The sequence below is a fragment of the Homo sapiens genome, chromosome 13, assembly GCF_000001405.40.
Source record: "Homo sapiens chromosome 13, GRCh38.p14 Primary Assembly".
In the NCBI taxonomy this organism is placed as follows: Eukaryota; Metazoa; Chordata; class Mammalia; order Primates; family Hominidae; genus Homo; species Homo sapiens.
The window spans coordinates 25,094,409-25,120,761 of NC_000013.11; the positions used below are offsets into that span (position 1 = coordinate 25,094,409).

At 41.2% G+C, this 26,353-nt stretch overlaps 1 protein-coding gene and 2 long non-coding RNA genes across 7 annotated transcripts, besides 1 other annotated feature; all 3 read left to right on the forward strand.

Annotated features, from left to right (window-relative positions):
• Positions 1 to 1,211: 1,211 nt before the first annotated feature.
• LOC124900613 (uncharacterized) lies at positions 1,212 to 22,819 on the forward strand. Of its 2 annotated transcripts, none has more exons than XR_941762.3 (3): positions 1,212 to 1,251; positions 17,012 to 17,121; positions 22,737 to 22,819. It is a non-coding gene; the product is annotated as an uncharacterized LOC124900613 (long non-coding RNA). The 2 variants fall into 2 exon arrangements; XR_007063729.1 differs by lacking the exon at positions 22,737 to 22,819 and adding an exon at positions 20,527 to 20,671.
• Positions 1,643 to 1,937: a silencer, noted in NCBI's record as "tiled region #9769; K562 Repressive non-DNase unmatched - State 21:Repr". NCBI's record gives its function as "represses a minimal TATA promoter and a strong SV40 promoter by Sharpr-MPRA in K562 cells {active_cell/tissue: K562}" and the evidence as "EXISTENCE:reporter gene assay evidence [ECO:0000049][PMID:27701403]".
• Positions 1,728 to 4,846, forward strand: PABPC3 (poly(A) binding protein cytoplasmic 3). Its single transcript, NM_030979.3, has one exon. The coding sequence runs from the start codon at positions 1,791 to 1,793 to the stop codon at positions 3,684 to 3,686; it is 1,896 nt and encodes a 631-aa protein (NP_112241.2). The 5' UTR covers positions 1,728 to 1,790; the 3' UTR covers positions 3,687 to 4,846.
• Positions 22,811 to 25,027, forward strand: LOC105370120 (uncharacterized). Of its 4 annotated transcripts, none has more exons than XR_007063728.1 (3): positions 22,811 to 22,889; positions 24,170 to 24,295; positions 24,417 to 25,027. It is a non-coding gene; the product is annotated as an uncharacterized LOC105370120 (long non-coding RNA). The 4 variants fall into 4 exon arrangements; XR_007063726.1 differs by having other exon boundaries at positions 22,818 to 22,889; positions 24,157 to 24,295; XR_007063727.1 differs by lacking the exon at positions 22,811 to 22,889 and having other exon boundaries at positions 23,250 to 24,295; positions 24,373 to 25,027.
• The last annotated feature ends 1,326 nt before the right edge of the window (positions 25,028 to 26,353 follow it).

Sequence of the window (26,353 nt, forward strand, 5' to 3'; positions counted from 1 at the left end):
TTGAGTAACCACACCCTTCCTAGCACTTGGTTTTTACAAGACCACATTGTTGAAATGATGGACGTGCTCCTAAAAAGCTGTGTATCAACTTCATTTTTAAACTTTTAATTGAATTTTATATTAGTGGCAACCACTATTTAAAGAAACCCTCTACTCTAGGCTAGGCGCGGCGGCTCACGCCTGTAATCCCAGAGCTTTGGCAGGCGTAGGTGGGCGGATCACCTGAGGTCAGGAATTCTAGACCAGCCTAGCCAACAAGGCGAAACCCCGTTTCTACTAAAAACAATACAAAAATTAGCCAGGCGTGGTAGTGCCTGCCTGTAATCCCAGCTATTCGGGAGGCTGAGGCGCTAGAATCCCTTGAACCCGGGAGGTGGAGGTTGCGGTGAACCAAGATCGCACCACTGCACTACAGCCTGGGTGACAGAACGAGACTCTATCTAAACAAACAAACAAACAAAAAACCCTAAAATAAATTATTTGTAACATGAACAGAATGAACAGATCCTCCCCCAAACTGATATTTTTTGTGGGACTGGACCTTTCTTAAAGGATTTTCTTAAATAGAATTATTTCAGATCATCACTTACTTAGATGTGTAGCTATATTAGGTCACAAGATTGTGTACTTATAATCATAAAACGTATACTTAATAATGAATCCCAACCTGACCTCAAAAGACTATATCATATAATACTATATTAACATTACATATTTATTGGTCGGGCACGGTGGCTTACGCCTGTAATCCCAGCACTTTGGGAGGCCGAGGTGGGTGGATCACGAGGTCAGGAGTTCAAGATCAGCCTGGCCAAGATGGTGAAACCCCGTCTCTACTAAAAATACAAAAAATTAGCCAGGCTTGGTGGTGGGTGCCTGTAATCCCAGCTACTTTAGAAGCTGAGGCAGGAGAATCGCTTGAACCTGGGAGGTGGAGGTTGCAGTGAGCCGAGATCGCACCACTGCACTCCAGCCTGGGTGACAGAGCAAAACTCCGTCTCAAAAATAAATAAGTAAAATAAAAATAAATAAATGAAAAATAAAATTACATATTTATTATGTTTTATATTGTTATATAATATAAAAAGTCGGTTTTTCGGGGTTTTTTGTTTGTTTGTTTGTTTGTTTGAGATAGTCTCGCTCTGTCACCCAGACTAGAGGGCAGTGGCGCGATCTCTGCTCACTGCAACCTCCACCTCCCGGGTTCAAGCGATTCTCGTGCCTAGGCCTCCCGAGTAGCTGGGATTACAGGTGAGCACATCAAGCCCAGCTAATTTTTTGTAATTTTAGTAGAGACGAGGTAAAAAGTAGAAAATATTTTATAAAAATATATTTGTGTAAAGTAGAACATATATAAAAACATACTAAAGGAGAAAGGAGAAAAAAATTCTTTCATTTATTTTTTTCCCAGGCATTTTAAATTTGGATTATAAAAATCATTTTAGAAAAATCATTAATGCTCTTTTACAAAATAACCCGGTGAAGCAGCTGAGCCCGAGCCGCCCGCCAGCGGCCCCGCAGCAGCTCCAAGAAGGAACTAAGAGACCAAGGCCTTCCTGCTGCCCGGACCCGACACCGCTACCCTGGCTCCCCGCCGGCAGCCGGCAGCCAGCGGCAGCGGATCGACCCCGTTCTGCGGCCGTTGAGTAGTTTTCGATTTCGGCTGATTTTTGTCCCTCTGCGCTTGCCCCCGCTCCCCTCCCTCCGGCTACGCCCCCGGCCCCGGCACGCGCTCTACTCCTGTAACGGAAAGGTCGCGGCTTGTGTGCCTGCGGGCAGCCGTGCCGAGAATGAACCCCAGCACCCCCAGCTACCCAACGGCCTCGCTCTACGTGGGGGACCTCCACCCCGACGTGACTGAGGCGATGCTCTACGAGAAGTTCAGCCCGGCAGGGCCCATCCTCTCCATCCGGATCTGCAGGGACTTGATCACCAGCGGCTCCTCCAACTACGCGTATGTGAACTTCCAGCATACGAAGGACGCGGAGCATGCTCTGGACACCATGAATTTTGATGTTATAAAGGGCAAGCCAGTACGCATCATGTGGTCTCAGCGTGATCCATCACTTCGAAAAAGTGGAGTGGGCAACATATTCGTTAAAAATCTGGATAAGTCCATTAATAATAAAGCACTGTATGATACAGTTTCTGCTTTTGGTAACATCCTTTCGTGTAACGTGGTTTGTGATGAAAATGGTTCCAAGGGTTATGGATTTGTACACTTTGAGACACACGAAGCAGCTGAAAGAGCTATTAAAAAAATGAACGGAATGCTCCTAAATGGTCGCAAAGTATTTGTTGGACAATTTAAGTCTCGTAAAGAACGAGAAGCTGAACTTGGAGCTAGGGCAAAAGAGTTCCCCAATGTTTACATCAAGAATTTTGGAGAAGACATGGATGATGAGCGCCTTAAGGATCTCTTTGGCAAGTTCGGGCCCGCCTTAAGTGTGAAAGTAATGACCGATGAAAGTGGAAAATCCAAAGGATTTGGATTTGTAAGCTTTGAAAGGCATGAAGATGCACAGAAAGCTGTAGATGAGATGAATGGAAAGGAGCTCAATGGAAAACAAATTTACGTTGGTCGAGCTCAGAAAAAAGTGGAACGGCAGACGGAACTTAAGCGCACATTTGAACAGATGAAGCAAGATAGGATCACCAGATACCAGGTTGTTAATCTTTATGTGAAAAATCTTGATGATGGTATTGATGATGAACGTCTCCGGAAAGCGTTTTCTCCATTTGGTACAATCACTAGTGCAAAGGTTATGATGGAAGGTGGTCGCAGCAAAGGGTTTGGTTTTGTATGTTTCTCCTCCCCAGAAGAAGCCACTAAAGCAGTTACAGAAATGAACGGTAGAATTGTGGCCACAAAGCCATTGTATGTAGCTTTAGCTCAGCGCAAAGAAGAGCGCCAGGCTTACCTCACTAACGAGTATATGCAGAGAATGGCAAGTGTACGAGCTGTGCCCAACCAGCGAGCACCTCCTTCAGGTTACTTCATGACAGCTGTCCCACAGACTCAGAACCATGCTGCATACTATCCTCCTAGCCAAATTGCTCGACTAAGACCAAGTCCTCGCTGGACTGCTCAGGGTGCCAGACCTCATCCATTCCAAAATAAGCCCAGTGCTATCCGCCCAGGTGCTCCTAGAGTACCATTTAGTACTATGAGACCAGCTTCTTCACAGGTTCCACGAGTCATGTCAACGCAGCGTGTTGCTAACACATCAACACAGACAGTGGGTCCACGTCCTGCAGCTGCTGCTGCTGCTGCAGCTACCCCTGCTGTGCGCACGGTTCCACGGTATAAATATGCTGCGGGAGTTCGCAATCCTCAGCAACATCGTAATGCACAGCCACAAGTTACAATGCAACAGCTTGCTGTTCATGTACAAGGTCAGGAAACTTTGACTGCCTCCAGGTTGGCATCTGCCCCTCCTCAAAAGCAAAAGCAAATGTTAGGTGAACGGCTCTTTCCTCTTATTCAAGCCATGCACCCTACTCTTGCTGGGAAAATCACTGGCATGTTGTTGGAGATTGATAATTCAGAACTTCTTTATATGCTCGAGTCTCCAGAGTCACTCCGTTCTAAGGTTGATGAAGCTGTAGCTGTACTACAAGCCCACCAAGCTAAAGAGGCTACCCAGAAAGCAGTTAACAGTGCTACCGGTGTTCCAACTGTTTAAAATTGATCAGAGACCACGAAAAGAAATTTGTGCTTCACCGAAGAAAAATATCTAAACATCGAGAAACTATGGGAAAAAAAATTGCAAAATCTAAAATAAAAAATGCAAAATCTAAAATAAAAAATGGAAAGGAAACTTTGAACCTTATGTACCGAGCAAATGCAAGGTCTAGCAAATATAATGCTAGTCCTAGATTACTTATTGATTTAAAAACAAAAAAAAGATTACTTAATTTTGATTTAAAAACAAAAAATCGTAAAATACAAAAACCAGTTAATGTTTTGTAGACCCTGGGAAAAGAATTTTCAGCAAAGTACAAAAATTTAAAGCATTCCTTTAATTTTTTAATTCTTTACTGTGGAATAGCTCAAAATGTCCATTCTGTTTTAAGTAACAGAATTGATAACTGAGCAAGGAAACATGGTTTGGATTATAAAATTCTTGCTTTAATAAAAATTTCTTAAACAGTGAAAAAAAGAAAAATCATCAATTTTACTAATAGTCTTTCTTTACATTTTCTATTATTCTATCTCCCACTATATTTCAAATATGAAAATCACTTTTTCACCAAAATTTTAGGTCTTTACATAATAGTGTTTATTTTTAATATTCATAAATGAAAATATGCAATGACAAAATAGTAATTATAAATTCAGTAACATTTGTTCAAAATTGTAAGACAATTATTAATTTATACTGCATTATTTTTAAATAAAAAATAAATACATAGTTTTAAAAATCTAATTGAACAGGAGGCTAAACATGGTTCTGATCACAGAGATAATCACTTTTAATCATTTGGTTTTAGTGTTTCTGGTAGTTGATTTTCTTCAATAATAATTGTACATAGTTATTTCTTGGTTTATCAATTTTGTAATTTAACTATTGACTTCCTGCTGTAACAAATAAGGATATGTTTCATCTACCTCTTCCCACCATCCCTCCTCCTCCTCCCAATATAATTTATCACTACTTGTAGCTCCTTTATTGGTAATATTAATTAATATAAATATTTATAATTAATGTTACACCTAGTGAATTGTATAAAAGGACAGCCCATTTGAGCATTCTCCTTTAAGATGAGTAGAGGCTGTGACATTGCACTACATAGAAATATAATTATACCATATTACTTTGCAATAAACTATGTATTATAGAGAGATGGTCACTATGTAATGTGGGTATAGCTATACACACACATACACACAAACATATAAATAATGTGTGTGCATATATATAATATACACACATGTATGTTATACACACACACACATATGTATATATATATACATATATTATATATATATAAAAAATACATGCTGTTTATTCATCCCCATTTTGGGGGCCTGTAGGTAAATTATGGAGAAATCCCTTATGGTTAAAGTTAAATGATTTTCATAACTCATAAAATTAGAATGTTCATATTTGAAAAAAATATAAAGATGTTTTGAGGTATATTATTTACTCACTGACAATGTCTGATGTATACGTGGTCCATACAGCAGGGCTTCAGTCCTCAGATGTTGCCAGTTTCCAGGTTGTTAAATACAAGTTTGCTGAAGGTCTTGTCATAAGTACCCCAATAGTTTAAATAGTGTCTTCTTCTTTTTTGTTTTATTTACTTTATTTAGAGACAGGTCTCACTGTCACCCACACTGGAGTGCAGAGGTGCGATGTTGGCTCACTGCAATCTCTGCCTCCTGGGCTCAAGCAATTCTCCCACCTCAGCTTCACAAGTAGCTGGGACTACAGGCGTGCGTCAACACACCAGGCTAATTTTTTGTATTTTTTGTAGAGACAGTGTTTGCCATGTTGCCCAGGCTGGTTTCAAACTCCTGAGCTCAAGGGATCCACCCACCTTTGCCTTCCAAAGTGCTGGGATTACAGGTGTGAGCCACCACGCCCGGCCTTATTTTTAAAAATGGGTTATTCTCGGTTTAGCAATCTTTCTGTTTTTTTTTTTTTTTTTTTTTTTTGAGACGGAGTCTCTCCCTGTGGTGGCGTGATCTCGTCTCTCTGCAAGCTCCACCTCCTGGGCTCAAGCCATTCTCCTGTCTCAGCCTCCCAAGTAGCTAGGACTACAGGCGCCTGCCACTACACCTGGCTAATTTTTTTTTTTTTTTGTATTTTTAGTAGAGATGGGTTTGCACCGTGTTAGCCAGGATGGTCTTGAACTCCTGACCTTGTGACCTGCCCGCCTTGGCCTCCCAAAGTGCTGGGATTACAGGCGTGAGCCACCATGCCTGGCCAGCAATCTTACAATTTAACCTTCTATTGACTTCCTGCCAAATTAGATTATAAGCTTCCTAAATACAGAAACTGGGTTTGCATAACAGACAATTAAATGCTTGTTGATTGGTCAACATCATATGTCCTGAGGAATTTCATATACTTAACAATCAAGTGCTTAAATTCTCATAACACTTCTCAGAATAGCTGAGGGAATATTGGTGTGAGTGTGCAATGCTATTCTAGATGATGTGGGACAAACAGAAAGAAATGATCTCCAGTCCACACTCTTGAGAAGTGCCCCCTATCCTGGACGACACACACGTCCACAAGTAGCTCCTGGCCATATGGAGGGATGAGCAAAGTATAGGGGGAAGCACAATGTACCCAGCAGAGAGATCTGGGAAGACCTTGTGCATAAGATGGCTTGTGAGCCGAGCTTTCAAAGATGAGTGGGATTTTGAGGATAGTCAAGAAGAGAAGAGGAGTCCGAGGCCAAGGGAATTTGACTAAAGGCAGATGTTTCACCAGATTTGACAATGCGTTCCATGGAGTAGTGTTGCCTCTGAGAAGCAGCTGCTTGTTTAGAGGCTGTGTGTCCCAGCTCCTTTCTGCATCAGGACAGGGCATGTCACTAGCCCTTACCCAGGGGATGTTAGTGGGAGTGATGCATGTCTTTCAAGGCAAGGCAGTTAAGAAACTGATGGGCTCTCCAATGTCACTTTCCCCATCCACTGGGTGAAGAACATTGCAATTCCTTGAGAGAGGAGCCACAGGACAGAGGGAGTGTGCATGTGTGTGTGTGTGTGTGTGTGTATATATATACGTATACACACACACATATATATATATATAGAGAGAGAGAGAGAGAGAGATACGGTCTTGTTTTGTCTTCCATATTGGAGTACAGAGGTGGGATCATAGCTCACTGTAGTCTTGAATTCCTAGGCTCAAGCAATCTTCCCACCTCAGCCTCCCAAGTAGCTAGGAGTAAAAGCACACACCACCATGCCTGGCTAATTTATTTTATTTAGTTAGTTTGTAGAGACAGGAGCCTTGCTATGTTGCCTAGGCTGTTCTTGAACTCCTGGCCTTAAGCAATCCTTCTGCCTCAAGCCTCCCAAAGCACTAGGATTACAGGTGTGAATCATCACACCCAGCCTAGGTATATTTTATTTTACATAAAATTACAATGTTTTATATAAAATATGTACATTACTGTATTTGACTTGAATGTTATTACAGTCAATTATTCAAACTTGAATTAAGTCCAACTGCCTGATCAGTGATACATTAAAATATCATAATATTTACTTATCCAGCAATCTCAACTCTTTTAGTCCCTTCAGGCTGTTATAACAAAATACCATAAACTGCGTGGCTTGTAAACAACAGAAATTTATTTCTCACTGTTCTAGAGATCGGGAAGTCCAAGATCAAGGTGCCAGCAGATTCAGTATCTGGTGCCTGGTAAGGATCTGCTTTCTGGTTCATAGAGTCTGTCTTTTCGCTGTATCCCCACATAGGAGGAATCAGCCCTACTGGGCCTCTTCTATAAGGGTATTAATCTTTTCCCCGAGGATTTCACTCTCATGACCTGATGACTACCCAAAGACGCCACCTCTTATCATCGTATTGGGGGTTAGGACTCAGCATAGGAGCTTCTAGGGAACATAAAGATTCAGTCCGCTGCATCAACTACCTAATACAGAATGGAAAACATATACGCAAACAGGGCCTTTAGCCAGCCGCAATTAGTAATACAAAGAGCACACATTTTCTTCTTCCTGGAACATCCAAAATGCCCTCACTCACAAACAAGCTACTCTTATTTTATATAAATTTAAATGTGTATATATATATGTTAATATATATAAATCTAACACGGATAGTTATTTCCTTCTTACTAGAAAATCAAATTGAGAGAGAACAGAAATAAATGCACTAAAAGCAGCAAGAAGTAATACTTGGTACTCAAATATCAAGAAACAGGAAAAAAGCAACATAAGTACTCAACAATAATAGCATCAGCAGGCCAGGCGAGATGGCTCACGCCAATAATCCTAGCACTTTGAGAGGCTGAGGCAGGCAGATCCCTTGAGCCCAGGAGTTCGAGATCAGCCTGGCCAACATGGCGAAACCCTGTCTCTACCAAAAAATATATATATACAAAAATGGAACAAATGTCAGTGACAATGGTAACTGTGAGTCCACAGGAGAAAGCAGGATTGTCCTCAGTTTATTGTCACTAAAAAGGCATGTAAGCAGGCAGAACCATGTAGACATATCCTTCCCCAAAGAAAAGTTTTAAAGAAGAGTTTTCTCCTTGAGACGATAATAAACTTTCTTGGCCGGGCGCGGTGGCTCACGCCTGTAATCCCAGCACTCTAGAAGGTCGAGGCAGCCAGATCACCTGAGGTCAGAAGTTCAAGACCAGCCTGGCCATGGTGAAACCCTGTCTCTACTAAAAATAAAAAAAAATGAGCCAGGTGCAGTGGTGCGCACCTGAAATCCCAGCTACTTGGGAGGCTGAGGCAGGAGAATCGCTTGAACCCGAGAGGCGGAGGTTGCAGTCAGCCGAGATCGCACCATTGCACTCCAGCCTGGGCAACAAGAGCAAAACTCTATCTCAAAAAAAAAAAAAAAAAGATGATAATAAAGTTTTTTTATGTGGAAACCTTCTTTTCCTAGGAATGCTGTCAACATGAAACATTACTGGGGTTTATTCCAGAAATGCAAAGTTAGTTAACATTTAAAAATCAATCAATGTAATTTATCATATTAATCGAATAAAAGAGAAAACCCAATGGTCATCTCGGTAATATTAAAAAACTTTTATAAAATTTGAGGTCTAGTCATAAAATGCAAAAGCTCAGTAAACTAGGAATAGATAAGCTCAGTAAACTAGGAATAAAGTATATTTATAAAACATCTAGAATAACATCATGTTGTTCTAATGGTGAAATATTGAATGTGTTCCCTGTCAAGGAACAAGAAAAGAAAACCCATGATCAACATTTCTATTCAACATTGGACTAAAAAACCTAACCAGTACAATAGGCAAGAAAGACAAATTAAAGCATAAAGATAGGAAAGAAAAAGTAAGCTGTCATTATTCATAAATGACATGAGTGCATACATAGAAAAGCCCAAAGAATCTATTAATAAATTGAAAGGATGAGTAAACTTAGTAGGTCACTGGATTCAAGGTCAATATACTGGAAATCAATTGTATTTCTACATACTCACACAAACCAATTTAAATATAAAATTTAAAAACCAATATCAATACAATCCTCTTGGAAAATAGTTTAGCACTTTCTTAAAAAGTTAAACCTATACCTACCAGAAGATCCAGGTATTTTGCTCTTAGTATTTTACCCAAGAGAAAAAAAACCATATGTTTATACAAAGACTTGTACAAATGTTCACAGCAGCTTCATTTGTAATATCCCGAAACTGAAAACAACCCAAGGGCCCATCGAAAGGCTAAACAAATTGTGATATAGTTATACAATAGAACACTACCAGGCTATGAAAAGACTGAACTAGTGATATGTACAAAAACACAGAGAAATCTTAGAATAATTATGCTGAGTGGGAAAAAAAACCAAGCCAAGGAAGAGAATACATAAAAATTCTAGAAAAGTTCAAACTAATCTATAATGTTAGAAAGGAGATCAGTGGTTGCTGGAGGGTGGGAAGGTCAGGTCAGGCAGAGAGCAGCCACAAGGGAGGATACCACAGGGGCAGGAGAAAACTTTTGAAAGTGATATGTTTGTTTGTTTGTTTATTTATTTTGAGACAGAGTCTCGCTCTGTCGCCCAGGCTGGAATGCAGTGGTGTAATCTCAGCTCACTGCAACCTCCACCTCCTGGGTTCAAGCGATTCTCCTGCCTCAGCCTCCTGAGTGGCTGGGACTACAGGTGCCCGGCACCACGACTGGTTAATTTTTGTATTTTTAGTAGAGATGGGATTTCATCATGTTGGCTAAGTTGGTCTTGAACTGACCTCAGGTGATCTGCCCACCTCGGCCTCTCAAAACGATATGTTTGTTATCTTAATTGTGGTGATGGTTTGATGGTGTATACATTTGTCAAAACCTATCAAATTTTACACTTAAATAAGTGCAATATATAACATATCAATAAAGCTCTTTAATTTTTTAAAATAAAGAAATGAATGGATTGTGCAGAAAAAAATATGATTTCTGACAGCATAAACAACCCCCATTTCATCAAGTATCTAGGAATGCATCTAACAAGAGATGTGCAAAATTGCTACATTGAAAGTTACAAAACACTGTAGCAAGAAATCTTAACCTAAATAAATGGAGGGATATGCCATGTTCATGGACTGGAAAACTCACTATGATAAGATGGCAGTTCCTTTCAAATTTTTCTACAGATTCAATGAAATCCCAAATAAAATCTCAGCAGGATTTTCAATGAACAAACCAAATGTAAAATTTATCTGAAAATACAAAGAACCGGCTGGGCACAGTGGCTCATGCCTGTAATCCCAGCATTTTGGAAGGCCGAGGCGGGCAGATCACCTGAGGTCAGGAGTTTGAGACCAGCCTGGTCAACCTGGTGAAACCCCGTCTCTACTAAAAATACAAAAATTTGCCGGGTGTGGTAGTGGGTGCCTGTAATCCCAGCTACACAGGAGGCTGAGGCAGGAGAATCGCTTGAACCTGGGAGGTGGAGGTTGCAGTGAGCAGAGATGGTGCCACTGTACTCCAGCCTGGGCAGCATAGCAAGAATCCATCTCAAAAAAAGAAAAGAAAATAAAAGAAAAATACAAAGAACCTAAAATAGCCAAACAATCTTGAAAAAAAAACAGAGTTGGAGATTGACACTGCTAGATATCAAGATCTACTGTGAAGCTACAGCAATAATTAAGACTATGGTATTTGCGCAAGGATAAACAAATAGAATAATAAGCAAATTAGAGTATCCGGAACAGACACACATAGAGTCATTTGATTTACAATAAAGTAAGACACTGGCTCAATTGGACATCCAATGACCTTGACCTCCACCTCACAGCATACACAAAACATAATCTGAGATAGACCATTGACTCAAAAGTGTAAGATAAGACAATAAACTTCTAGAAAAAATATAGAATACTTTAAAAGCCACGCGTAGGCCACATTTTTAAAACAGGACACAAAAGCAGTAGCAATAATAGAAAAGATTGATAAATTGGTCTTTATTAAAATTAAGAACTTTTGTTCAATAAAAGACAACATTGAAAGTAAAAAAGCAAGCCACGGACTGGGAGAAGACATTTGCCATCCCCATGTCTGGCAAAGGACTCATTCTGAATATTCAAAGAACTCCGACAAAACACCACCACCCAGTGCAACTTGAATTTATCTATTATTTTTTACTAAATGAGAAAAAGACTCAAATGGACAATGAACAAATTAAAATACCCAAATAGCCAGTAAGTATTTAAAAAGATGTTCAGCAGGATTCACTACCTGTACAGTACAAATTAAAACCACAATGAGGCCGGGCCCGGTCACTCACACCTGTAATCCCGGCACTTTGGGAGGCTAGGCAGGTGGGTCACTTGAGGTCAGGAGTTCAAGACCAGCCTGGCCAACATGGCAAAACCCCGTCTCTACTAAAAATAGAAAAATTAGCCAGGTGTGGTACCGGGTTCCTGTAATCCCAGCTACTCGGGAGGCTGAGGCAGGAGAATCACTTGAACCTGGGAGGTGGAGGTTGCAATGAGCAGAGATCATGCTACTGCACTCCGGCTTGGGTGACAGAGTGAGACTCCATCTCAAAAAAAAAAAAGAAAAGAAAAGAAAAGAAAAAGAAAAAAACAAAACAAAACAGTGAGCTATTACTACACCCCCACCAGGATGGCTAAAATTAAGACTAACAATACCAAGTGATGGAGAGGACATGAAACAACCGAAACTTGCATATATTGCCAGTGGGATGTAAACGGTTACTTTGGAAAACTGGCATTCTACAAAAATGGAATGTACATACATCCCAAGATTTTCATTCATAGGTATATATTCAACAGAAGTGAGGCCTTAACAGAAAAACATGTACAAGAATGCTCACAGCACCTTTATTCATAATACCCCCAAACTAGAAAATCTAAATGTCTATCAACTAAAGAACAGAAAAATGAATACATACGGAAATATTAAAGAAAGGAGCACTACACTGCAACGAGAAAGAGCAAACTACTGAAGAATGTGCTGCATGGATGACTCGCAGACATTGTGATAAACAAAAGGAAAGGGACCTGACAGGGCACATGCTGACTGACCCATTTTATATGAAGATCAAGGACAGACAACGCTAATCGTGATGGTAGAAAAAGAACAGGTGGTCGACTTTGCCAGTGGTGGGGGCATTGACTGGAAAGAGGCAAGAAGGAACCATTTGGGGTGCCGGTAACTTTCTATACCTTCACCTGGGTGGTTGGTAAATGAGTTTATTCATGTGCGAAAACTCACCAACCTGCACAGTTATAGATCAACTTTTAAAAATTAAAGAAGGTGGAAGAGAAGCTGAAGCAACACATTCCCCTGAGAGTTGCTAAACAAAGTTCCTGCCCTAGTGTCAGAATGGTATTGAGATAAACACAGGAAACTTTCTTAGTAAGGAGAAAGTTACACTCCGTAGACAGCATTCCTAATTAATTGCCTCCATGGGTGAGGACACTGCTAATTAAGCTTTTGATTGAAATTTTCAGAAAATCCAACTCAAACTGGTTTAAAGAAATGTATGACTACACTAAAGGGAAGTCTAGAGATTCGTGGTTGGTTGACCCAACTGCTCAGTCCCAGCTCTGACAGCTCCGCTGTCTGTCTCACTCCTCTACTGTACACAGTGTGGGTTTCAGCTTCAGCTGGATCCACACTGTGGAGGACCAGGGAGACCATTGCAGTCCAGGCTACAACCGTCTTCATTTTTGCCTGGAGAATTACTACTAGATCTCCCCGGAGAGTGAGGAAGGATGTCCCCAGAACCTCTAGCAAACCACTTCTTATGTGTCATTGGCCCAAATTTAGTCACAGTTTTGTCTAAATCTATCACTGGCAGTGAGAACACAAAGATTGGTTTAGTCTAATGAGGGCGACCCTAGGGCTGATAATAGGGTGCATACTGGAACAAAATCAGGGTTCTGTTTAGAACGAGGAAGCGGGGGCTGGGAAATTGATGCTGGGTTGGCAACTAACAATATCCAATACAATTTCCTCAAGAAGATTGAAAGCACCTGGGTGGCAGGGACTGTGTTTTAGACCTCTCCCTTATCTTCACAACCTGTTACTGTCTGGGGGCTATGAGATTAGGGGGTCCCACTAGGGACTGGGGAATATGTAGGACCCCAGAGTCACATACATTAGAGGAATAGTGGCTGATGCCACTAAGTGGTTAACCACCCAAAAATGTGACTAAGCTTCTCAAGGACCCTCAATGTTTAGAAAACTTTGGAAGAGATGAACTCCTACTTGGTAGAAACTTTTGTGGCCACTACCTGTCTATATTAAGCCTGTACAGACAATGAGCTAGAACAAAAGTCATGGCCAATCAAAGAGCACACGGCCAACTGCAAGGGACAGTCAAGGGAGAAGGCAGCCATCTTTTGTTCCCTCTCTTCTCCCTCCCCTCACAGCAAAGAACATGGAACAGGGTAGAAGGAGAAAACATAAGTCTAGTGGGGGTATTGGAGTAGAGATAGGAATTGAACATGAGGTTGAAGCTTAGAAATGAACAAATCGATTGATTACATAGGTGTATACATTTTTATAACAGCTCTATTGAGATATAATCACATACTGTGCCATAAACTTCACTCTTTTCAAAAAGTATACAATTCAGTAATTTGTAATCTATTCCAAGAGTTGTGCAACCACCATCACAATCTAATTCCTGAACCCTTTTGTCGCTGCAGAAAGAAACCCCATACTCATTAGCTGCCACTCCTCCCCCGCCCCTCAGGCCCTGGCAATCACTCATCTACTTTCTGTCTCTATAGATTTGCCTATTCTAGACCATCTGTAAATGGAATCAAAATATGAGGCCTTTGTTTGTTTGCTTGGGTTTTTAATTTTTTTATTTTTGTGGGTATGTAGTAGGTGTATATATGTATGGGGTACATAAGATATTTTGATACAGAAGTAAATGTATAATAATTACATCAGAGTAAATGGGGTATCCATCACCTCAAGCATTTATCTTTTCTTTGTTTTACAAACAATCCCATTGTACTCTTTTAGTTATTTTTAAATATACAATAAATTACTGCTGACTGTAGTTACCCTGTTCTGCTGTCAAATACTAGGTTTTATTGATTCTACCTTATTATAAGTTTTGTACCGATTAACAATCACCACTCCCCCCTCCACTACCCTTCCCAGCCTCTGCTATCCATCATTCTACTCTCTATCTCCATGAGTTCAATTGTTTTAATTTTTAGCTCCCACAAATAAATGAGAACATGTGAAGTTTGTCTTTCTGTGCCTGGCTTATTTCACTTAACATAATGACCTCCAGTTCCGTCCATGTTTTTGCAAATGACAAAATCTCATTCTTTTTTATGGCTGAATAGCACTCCATTGTGTATATATACCACATTTTCTTTATCCTTTTGTCTGTTGATGGACACTTAGGTTGCTTCCAAATCTTGGCTACTGTGAATAGTGCTGCAGTAAACATGGGAGGGCAGGTACTTCTTCAATATACTAATCTTTTGGGTATATACCCAGCAATGGGATTGCTGGATCATAAGTTGGCTCTATTTTTAGTTTTTTAAGAAACCTCCATATTGTTCTCCATAGTGGCTGTACTAATTTACATTCCCACGAACAGTGTATGAAGATTCCCTTTACTCCACATACTTGCAAGCATTTGTTACTGCCTGTCTTTTGGATAAAAGCCGTTTTAACTGGGGTGAGATGATATATCATTGCAGTTTTCACCTGCATTTCTCTGATGATCAGTGATGTTGTGTACCTTTTCGTATACCTATTTGCCATTTGTATGTCTCTTTTGAGAAATGCTTATTCAGATCTTTTGCCCATTTAAAAAATCAGATTATGACTTTTTTTCATATAGAGTTGTTTGAACTCCTTACATAGTCTGGTTATGAATCACTTATCAGATGGATAGTTTGCAAATATTTTCTCCCATTCTGTGGGTTTTCTCTTCACTTTGTTGAGGCCTTTTGTGACGCGCCTCTTTCACCTAGCATGACGTTTTCAAGATTTATGCATGTCGTAGCAAGAATCAGTACTTCAGTCCTCCTTATGCTGAAGAATGTTCCATTGTGTAGATACACCGCATTTTAAAAACCCATTCATCAGTTGATGAACAATTGGGTTGTTTCCACTTTTTGACTATCTGGAACAATGCTGCTATGAACATTTATATACAGGTTATTGTATAGATACATGTTTTCAATGCTCTAGGAGTAGAATGGCTGGGTTACATGGTAACTATATGTTTAGCTATTTGAGGAATTGACAAATGGCTGCACCATTTGAAAATCCCACTAGCAATGTGCAGGGACTGTAGTTTCTCCATATTCTCATCAACACTTGTTATTGTCTCTTTTTTATATTAATTACTCCAGTGTGTGAGAAGTGGTGCTTCGTTACGATTTTGATTTGGATTTCCTTAATGACTTAATGATGTTGAGTATCTTTTCATGTATTTATTGTTCATTCGTACATTTTTTTAGAAATATCTACTGAAATTTTATTGTTGAGTTGTAAAAGAGTCTATATATTTTGGCACAAATCTCTTATCAGATATAATTTGCAAATATTTTTACCATTCTATTTATTATCTTTTCACTTTTTTGATGGTATTCTTTAAAGCACAAACATTTTTGCTTTTGATGAAACCCAATTCATCTGTTTTTCTCTTTTGAAGTTTGTGCTTTTTTGTGTCATATATAAGAAATCATTGCCTAATTCAAGGTAGATATTATTTTACTTTGAATTAGGCAATGGTTTCTTAGAGATGGCACAAAAAAGCAAAAAAGTTTTCTTGTAAGAGTTTTCTTCTAAGACTTCTAGTTCTTACATGTAGGTCTATGACCCATTTTGAGTTGGTTTTTGTATATGGTGTGAGATAAAGATCAAACTTTATTTTGTGTGTGTGTGTGGATATCCAGTTGTCCCACTACCATTTGTTGAAAAGACTATTCTTTCCACGTTGACTGATGTTGGCAACCTTGTCAAAAATCAACTGATCATAAATGTAAGGCTTCACTTCCAGACTCTGAATTCAATTCCATTAATCTATGTCTATCCTCATGTCAACCCTGTAGTATCTTGATTTCTGGAGCTTTGACATATATTTTAAAATTGGGAGGTAAATGTTCTCCATCTTTATTCTTCTTTTTCAAGATTGTTTGGCTATTGTTAGTTTTATAAATTTCCATATGAATTTTAGAACAGCTTGTCAAGTTCTGCAAAAGAAAGGCAGCCTGGATTTTAACAGAGGCCATGTTAAATCTGTAGATCAATTTGGGGAGTATTACTATCTTAATAATATGAAGTCTTCCAATCCATGAACATGAATGTATTTCCTTTATTTATGTCTTTATATTCTTTCAACAAGGTTTTATAGTTTTCAATATACACCTCAATTAAAAAATGAATGTCTTTCTTTAAAAAAATGAACAGGAGTAGTTATTTTTAGAATGAGAATGTTCTAATAACTGAAAATACTAAGGTTTATATGATTGGACTGATATGTCATTAAGCAAGATTCCTCTCTGAGAGAATGGAGTGGTGGTGTTTAACAGAGTGCAGCTAATGGTTGTTAATGGGAAAATAAAGCCCTTCAATGTTGATGCTCTGAAGAGTTAAGATGACTCACTAAAAGTAACTATGGTGATAGAGAATAGAATAAGCTATAACTTGCATTACACTGACATTTACTTTGTCAGAGCAATCTTACAAATGAAAAGGCATTTGTTTTTCTTTAAAAAAGATACTGTGCTTTTGTCAAATGTTTATTGAATTTGCATCTGTCATAATCAATGAGCACCTGTCTTAGGATCCTGGTGCTCAGCACTGCTCCCTGTCTGGTTCACATCTGCAGGCACCTGAGAATGAATAGAGCTCCTCTGCTCTCTCGTTAGCCCCATCCCAAAGGCTGAGCCTCTACTGTTTGGGAACTATCAAGAGAAGACACAGCTATCAAGCCAGGAGGTAAGTCTCTGTTTGTGCAGAGCTTCTTGTGAAACTGTAGCAACCACTAGCAAGTTTTCCCAACTACAAAGACAGGTGGGCCCATCCCTTGCAGGGGTAAAACACATTCTACTTCTAGAGAGAAGAGATTTTGTACCTGAACTTAAGGGAAAACAGACCAGAAAGGATGCAATGGGCTACCCGAGCCAAGTTCATTTTCTTACTAACAGGATGATTCATCTTCAAAGGTATTCAGTCTCAGCCGACCCTAGTCTAAGAAAACCCTGAGTGAAACCAGCCAACAATCTGCTTATCATAATCTCTTCATATGAGCTGTTATCATGCAAATAATCTAGATGTTCCTGAGATTATTACAAATAATCACCCTTCAAGTACATGTTGTAAAAAATGGTATTAACATTTGCTGAGTGACTGTGCCCCATGCATTGATCTGGTGCTTTTATATGTAATTCTCAGTTTAATGAAATTTGATAAATATGATTTAAAAATCACTACCTTCCAAATCAATTCAACAAACTTGTGTTCACTAAACAGACAAGTAAAACATCATCCATGTGTGTGTGTGTGTGTGTGTGTATATATATATATATATATATATATATATCCATATATATTTTTTCTTAATATTTTCAGAACTACTATTTTTTTCTTAATATTATTTTGATCATTCTCTTTCCAAAAATTTGATCTTTCTCCTTCCAAAATTACTATAAGACCAGCAAAAAAAAAAAAAAAAAAAGCATCAGAGTTCTTTCTATCTTTCTGATTTTCCCACTGAAGGGTGACAGAAAAGAAAGGTCCTATCTGTCATCTAAAATCTATTAGTAAGTACTTTAGCTAAGTCTGGAAACTAAGATGTCACATGTCAATTACACAGGAATGAGCTGACATTTGCTTCCTGCCAGGAGCAATACACAGATTCAGAGAACTGCTACTCTGAACATAGTTACAGAAAATAAAATATTTACCTTTGCAGGGATCTGGGACTTATGAAGCTAGTATTAAAAAGCTGTATGTTACAAATGAGGACTTAGATTTCAGAGAGTCCGTGTAAGTCCCAGGCTTTTTCAGTGTGGGATCTCATTAGCCAGCCTGTGTGAATGTGCTGAAACAAAGAGAGGATGCTTTCCCTTACTTCTGGCAGAGTTAGACAGAAGTAATGAAGGAGGTGGTGATACATCATTAATTCTCTCCAAATACCTCCAGAATAAGACTGAAATGTTAATACTGAAAGGGCTCGTAGATGCCATGTCCCTCCAGTTCTTATTTTACAAACAAGAAACTGAGGAAAGGCAGACTGTGACTTTGGTGAGAGCTTCTAGTCCCTTTGTCATCCCTCCTGTATGCCATTTGGAGATGCTGTCTGCCTAGAGTAGTTTTGCTGGTGGGGCTGTGATTTAGATTCTCTGCAGCTGAGTCAAAGCAAATGTAAAAATGACAGAGGATTATTGAGAGTAAGAGTGTATCCCACTCTCAGAGAACAGCTGATCCTTTCCACCATGGCCTCTAAGGAATTTCAGGTAATCCAGATGAACTGGCATTCATCCCAAGTGCAATTTCCATTACTCACGACAATCTGCTAACATAAGGTGCCCTGTGCTTCAGAATTAGCTTCAGGCTTTGCCAGCTAGAAACAGCCAGCCATAGACTGGCTTGCTTTTAAAAATATCACTTGGCTACGATACAGACCTCTAATATAACAGTTGTCTGCAGTCTTAATATAAAATGAAATTAAGTTGAAAGAACTTTCCAACTATGTGAGATCTGTGATCCATATTTATATATCAGATGTTTATAGTATATATAATTTATTCTTAAAGTATAAACAATATATTAAACTATAAATATATATATTTACATATACAGACATTCTAATACAGGCATTTATTTAATAAGCTTTGCATTTTTGTATAGTAATTACTATACGAAATATATTCTCATTAATATAAATAGACTTCGGTCTATTTATATTAATGAGAAGAGCATATGCAATCCTACTGAATGACATCTTTCTAGGAGTAAAATTAACTCTTAAACTATCACTAAAACAACCGAGTTAAAGCTTCCCCCGTCTAAGAAAAAGACAAGTGTTGGCCAGGCGCAGGGACTCACGCCTGTAATCCCAGCACTTTGGGAGGCCAAGGCAGGCAGATCACGAGGTCAGGAGTTCGAGACCATCCTGGGCAACATGGTGAAACCGTATCTCTACTAAAAATACAAAAATTAGCCGGGCATGGTGTCGCGCACCTGTAATCCCAGCTACTTGGGAGGCTGAGGCAGGAGAATTGCTTGAACTCGGGAGGCCGAGGTTTCAGTGAGCTGAGATCATGCCACTACACACCAGCCTGGATGACAGAGCGAGGCTCTGCAAAAAAAAAAAAAAAAAAAAAAAAAAACAACAACACCAACAACAAAAAAAACAAGTGTCCTTTCTGAGAAAAAATATTAAGAACTTTTCCTCTTTACTGAGAGTCTACAGTAGACATGAGAAAACCCAAATTGCAGTTTCACAGCTCTTGTAGCAAAAGCAAGTTTTCAAGCAGCAGATCTTATTCATTATTGAAGCAAAGATTTCCAACAGCATATGCAAGATGTATTTTCTGGAAATTGGGACATAACACCCAGCACTTGAATTAGAGACCACAGGAAAAGTGTTTTTTTTCTGTTTCTCCACCATACGATTCAATCATATTGAACAAAAGACTCATCCTGTTGTTACTGTTCTACATACAGTGAATATTTTTACTGGTAGTGCAAAGTAATACAGGCTCCAGTAAGAGGAATTAGTCCCGCCAAAGCCTGACTCCTGGGTGACAGTGTCCCACTGCTGCCATCTTCTGGAGAGTCCAGGCTCAGCAGCAGTGAGCAGATGGTTTTAAAATTCAGATCACCTCCAGCTGATTCACCTCACTGACTGACAAAGCCAGCCCTGCTGCATTTGCGGGTGTGGATGTGGTTACAGGAGGAAAAGGCTCCCTGAAATGGGCTGAAATAATGAAGGCTTGATCTAGGAGGCAAGGCATCCTTCCTGATCTGTATTATAAGTGACTACAATAGCTAATGAGTGGAACCCGTCTTAGATATCAAAACCCTAACTTGTCTCCCTCTTTCCTTCCGCCATTGAAAACAGAAATAGGTGCGGAGCCCACAGTATCCTCTCCTGGGGCCCCAGGCCTGCCTCTGCATGTTTTCAAGCACAGTGGCAGAAGCACGAGGCCACCCGCCCACCCTCAGCTAGAGGGAGCCGGCTGGGGCCCCAGGACCCCAGCCAGGATGGCGTCTGATCACCAGAGGGCTGGGTGTCTTCCCTGTCCAGTTTCATGATGTCAGGGTGCTTGATAGGGTTGTTGTCCAAAAATAAACTAATAATAATCAGCGCTGCTTCCTCTTCCTCCCTCTGTGCAGTTTCAGAGCCCACTTCCTGAGAGCTCACTGGACAAAGGCTCCATGCCCACTCCAAGGGTTGGCCCTGGTCAGCCCTCTCTTCTGTTTGGGCTCTCTCAACTCAGTAACCCCACAGGAGGTGGTGTCCTCAGAGGCCCAGGGAGTGGTCCCAACCCACTTTGTAAACCTTGGGCAGTTGCTGAAGGCAGATCTTCCGCCAAAGGTAAATACTGGGTGGAATTCCCAATACAGGAGGTCGCCTGGGTGCAAACTTGCCCTGGAAATACATGGAAATGCTCCCTGATCTATCAAGTCACCCTTCTCAAGATTCAGAAAGCTTCAGTGACCCAGAGGAATACCAAGGGGGAAATGGTGAGATGGCGGGGCTGTCTGCTGTCCTCCTGCACCTCCTCACAGTCTAGTCTCATCTTCTAAGCACCCACCACAGGTACGCGCATGTGCGCGCGCACACACACACACACACGAACTCAGAGACACTCCCCCAACACACACACACACACACACACTCACACACACAAACTCAGAGACACCCCCCAACACACACACACACACACACACGAACTCAGAGACACCCCCCAACACACACACACACACACACACACACACACACACACACACCCCGCCCTCTCTTCTGCCTTGCAGTCAAATATGTGAATCCTTGGATGACACAGAAAGGATTTATTTAACAGGAGACTGAACATTTTGAACATGGAAATGTGAATATCTGTGAACACTGAATAGGCTAGATTAGTAAGAGCAGAGACTGGAAGAAAGGCCAGGTGGGTGTCTTCTCCTGTCTTTTCCTTCTAATTAGCATTCAGTCAGACTGTATAGAGGACCTGCTACATCCTGGGGATGATTCACACATTGTCCCTGCCTCCCAGTTACTCCTCCTCTGATGAGGGTTTGCAAACGAACTTTCTTCCATCATTTATCCCCCAAAACATGTATCAATTGATATCGTTACTTGCCAAACATAAAATAACATAAGGACATGAATTCTAGAGGAATTTTGTTTTGAGAAATGAAAATATAGATTTCAGAGGCCACTGGGAAAGGAAGATTTACAGGACCAAATAACTGACAAAAATGTTAACTTGCCAGAGAAGAAAGACTCAAAAATGTTCCATTGACATAAACCTAGATAACTAGGAGAATGAGAGTGCCTGTGTAGGGGAGTGAAAATAATTTTCTCCTCCACCCTTCATAGGTTTCTAGCTAGGTCTCCCTGTTAGGGGCGTTCAAACCAGAGCGACTCCATCTTCAGTGAGGGCTAGGAAAAATGAGGCTGGGACCTGCTGGGCTGCATTCCCAGAAAGTTAGGTATTCTTAGCCTCTAGGTGTTTACCGTTAAGGGAACAGGTTGATAATGTTTACTAAACAGACCCAGACTTGGGAGTGTCCTGATATCCCAGTATCTTGAGAACAGAAGCATTCTTAATTTTGCTTTAAAGATAACATCAATTCTTGCAAAATAAAGTAATTAAGAAAATTAACCCTTTATCATAAACCCTTGTAGCAGAGTACATCTCCCCACAATCTTTCTTTTTATCCCATATGTAAACAGGATTTATCCTGTATATACCTAGGGAGGACGTGTTTCCCCTCCTACTTTCGAGAACGCCCTGCTCTGTCTATGAGTAGCTATTCTTTCACCACTTTACTTCCTTAATAAACTTACTTTTGCTTTGCACTGTGGACTTGCCCTGAATTCTTTCTTGTGGGAGATCGAAGAACTCTCTCTTGGTGTCCGGATCGGGACTCCTTTCCGGTAACATCACTATGTTGCCCAGGCTGGTCTTGAACTCCTGGCCTCAAACCATCCTATAGATTCGACCTCCGAAAGTGCTGGGGTTACAGGCATAGCCACTGTGCCCAGCTGGAACAATCTTTATGAAGGTGAATTAAAGCTGTGAGGCATGAGACCAGAAAAGATGCACCAGGAGTAATGGATTTTGGTGGAGAATGAGCCACAGAAACGCGATCATGAGGCAAATGGTGGGGCCTAACCCTGCCTTCTCAGTCCTCGGGATGGGAGACCGGGCTAGAGAAGAGAAGGCTGGTGTGAAAACGCCGGGAGGGTGAGTTTTGGCAAAAATGGGGGCATCTTCAGTTTCACTTGGCACCAAAAGGAAAATTCAATGCACATTCTTTCCTGGATGTCCAAAAGCCTAATGAGGTTTTGCTTTCTTTGTCTTCTCTTTCCGGAGCCCTCATCGAGCCTCATTCTCAGCCACATCGTAAGGATTTAGAGGCCCTAAGCACTGACGACGCTGTGGTGCCACAAAAATAGACAAGCAGGGCATGTGCGCTGAAGCTGGAAGAGGCTTCTTCCATATTTTCATTGCAAAATCAGAACTTTGGTGAGTTTTTTAAAAATGTTTTAAAATGTTTGCGCCCCTGTTTTGCTGATGCCCCTGGGAATCCCAGCACGGCCTTTTCACCGACTGCTGCTTCTCAGTCTTCATGAGAGCCCAGAGCTCTGTGCTCGGCTCTTTCCTGTCCTCCCGGGCTGGCCTTGTGCTTTCGTGACTGGGTCAGGCTCCTGGGCTCTGTGTCTGATGCAATCAGTGCCACCTGAATGCCTGGGCGGCCTCAGCATACGGGAGTAGACCGGGCGGGGCCCTCGCGTGTGACACCATGGCTGTTTCAGATCCACCGCAAACCCCCCGCCCCAGTGCTGCCCCCGGTCCCCTCACACTCTGGAAAGATTTGCCGGAGCCACTCTGTCCTTTTCTTTAGTGCAGCTGCTGGCTGATAAACCTGCTCCTGCTCTCTCTAAGGCAAGGCCAAGCACAGCTCCTTTCCCCTAGGGCATGTGCCTTTGCACTGCCCGAGGCTGCTCCTTGGTCCCAAGTCCACAGTACTTTGCTTCTCAGGACAGTTTTCCATTCTCAGGTAAGCACTCAGGGGAGCTCTCCCAGTGGCACAGTTCCAGGTCCACCTGAATCCTTTCAGGAAGGACCTCGTCCCTCTGAATGCTGGTGATCACATTTCAACACAATTTATGAAGTGCACCTCGTAGGAAAAACTTAGAAAGCCTTTCCAGATCCACCAGGCATAGGCACCCTTCTTTCTTTGCTTCAAAGAAACAAAGATGGCATTTAAGCATGACATTTAAACTCTTTGGGGTCTACTCTAGAGAATTCCTCATTGTTCTGGGTCATCACCCAGGTATCCAGGAGATACACATATTGTTAAACTTCCGTTTGTTTTTCTCTTGTTAGTTTGCCTTTTGTTACAGAGAGACTCCCAGCTAGGAACCCATGAAGTTGGAGGTTTATGGGAATGTCTAGATATATTTATAAATCATAAAATTGTTATTTTGCTACTCAACTTGTTCAGGAGAAGCAACAGTGTTGCAGAAAGAGGCCCAGAGTGGGGACAGCAATCCCAATTCTGCAACCAATGGGCTCTGTCACTGTGGGGCCTTTCCATGCCTCTGCCTCCTCATCTGAAAATGAGCGGGTTGGATAGATTTTTCACTACTGTTCCTTTAAGTTCTACCATGCGGAGGTTTTTTACATTGCTACCTTCTTATGTGACATAGTTTTGCAATTAAGAACTCTCAAGTTCCTCTTTGCAGTTGGTATTTGAGATGTTAAGAATGGAAACGCTGATTCCCCTCAGACCCGCTTTGCAGATAACCCTGCATTTTACCGAGATGTCAAAGCAGGAAGTGCTTGGCTGGAACATCTGCCGACAGCCTCATCTCTTTCTGCAAGATCATGATGTTCTGCATGCTCCTGTGGCCTCTTATTTCACGTTGGTAAGAATTTTATGTTTATTTATTAACCTAAGGTAATGTGGTAAATTCCATGGTGGCTCACCTAACTTCTGAGTAAGCTTTTGCTTTATTTTTATTTTTTTCCATGTTTCCTCCTGGCAAGCTCTCCCTGCAAATTTTGAAACAACTTTAAAGATGAATAAAAAGCAGCTCAGCAAGTGAATCCCAGATCCCGGTAAGAGAGTGTCTCCCCCAACTCACATAGTGAGTGCACATCATCCCCAGAACCACCATGAGAGTGAGCCTGGTAGCGGGTAGCACCCTGCCTGTGACGAAGCCAGCACACTATGACGAGCAGCAGCTTCTAGACCCATGGACCACGGGCACTGCCAACGCTCTCCCTCCGGGGACTCCTCCTGCCTCCCATACAGGGCCAAACTCCGACGCCCACGAGCTCGCTCAGAATTGGCTCAGGCTGCAATCACTTCTCTTCTCCTACCTCCACACCATTCCCTGATGGTGGACAGCTTCTCCTTTGAGAACCACACCTGCCTTTTCAGACAAAAGGAGACACCACCCACCCTCCTGCTGAGGGCTGCTCCCCTGGGGCCTTCTCAGCACACCTCTCTCTCTCTAGGTCAAAAAACAAATTTCACATGCTGAATTTTTACCTTTTTTAAAGTGACTCCGAATTTTGGCACCAGCAATTAATTCAACACTTGAATAAGATTTGAAAACCTCACAACAAATCACAAATATATTATGGGTCCTGTTGAAGGTGGTATTGTGGTTAATGTAATTCTCTCTCTCTCTCTCTCTCCCTGTGTGTGTGTGTGTGTGTGTGTGTGTGTGTGTGTGTGTGTGTTCCTTTGTGTGTCTGGCTGGCTGTCTCTTCTGAGACAGGATCTTGCTCTGTCACCCAGGCTGGAGAACAGTGGTGCAATCACAGCTCACTGTGCCCTTGAACTCATGGGCTCAAGCAATCCTCCCACCTCAGCCTCCCAAAGTGCTGGAATTACAGGTGTGCACCACCTTTCCCAGGACCTTTCTATATTTCTTTTCATATTCATTTATTCATCCAACAAATATTTACTGAATCATTACTGTGTGTTACACACTGAGATTTCAAAGCCAGAGAAGAGTTGATTTTGGTGGGAGAAATAGGAATATAAATAAATTACACCACAAACAAAGTATTGGCTGTGCGCCTGGCACTATCAGGCAAAAATACAAAAATTCTTACTGACAAGAAATAAGAGGCCATAGTCCCAGAGCACTGGCTTAGAGTACTCCTCCCCATACTCTACAATTATAAAGGAATTATTGTCCCATTTTACAGAGGAGCAAGCTGAGGCTCAATGGGACTAATTCACTCAGTGAATTCTTCCTCCTGAAAGAAGAAAGTGGTAAAGTTGGTCTTGTCCTTTTGGCTGCAGCTAACACCCTGTCTCTCCTGACTCTCCAAAATGGGAAAGGGTTGCTTGACCCTTGAAGCCTTGTCCCAGGGTTCCTTGTGGCATGCTCCTAATGACCTCATGACAGCTGAATCTCCTGATCCTGCCCAGGGTCAACACAGAGAAAGGAGAGAAACCTAGGGTGTCTAGGCTGCAACTCAGGGACCTGTGGCTCCTGCACCAAGCATGTGAATCACCCCTTGGGCAATGGTTTCCTAAGAAAATCTGCCCTGTTCATGCATTATTTAAAAAGCAAAGGAAGAAAACAAAGAAACCCCTTAAAGCTCTTGTAATAAATTCACCATTCCCTTATTCTGTGAACTTTCATTTATTGAACACAGGCTTTGGGAATAGAGGGATCAATAAAACTCAGCTGAAATCCAAGGCAGAGCAAGATGTCTGAATAGAACCATGCAGTGATCATGCCCCCACCCTCCCCTGCAGGACATTGAATTGAGTGCAAACACACACAAGAAAACACCTTCACAAGAGCTAAAATATCAGGTAAGCGATCACAGGACCCGGTTTATCATAGTAACAAGAAAAGAGGCATTGAAGGAGTAGGAAGGACAATCCCGCATTGCCTGCACTGTTCCTCCCGCAGGACCAGGCAGCTCAATGTGGAGAGAGAATCTTTGTGCTTGGG

Bases quoted from the DNA above. Each gene is read 5' to 3' on its own strand.
- PABPC3 (NM_030979.3), top strand. From the start codon at position 1,791: ATGAACCCCAGCACCCCCAGCTACCCAACGGCCTCGCTCTACGTGGGG.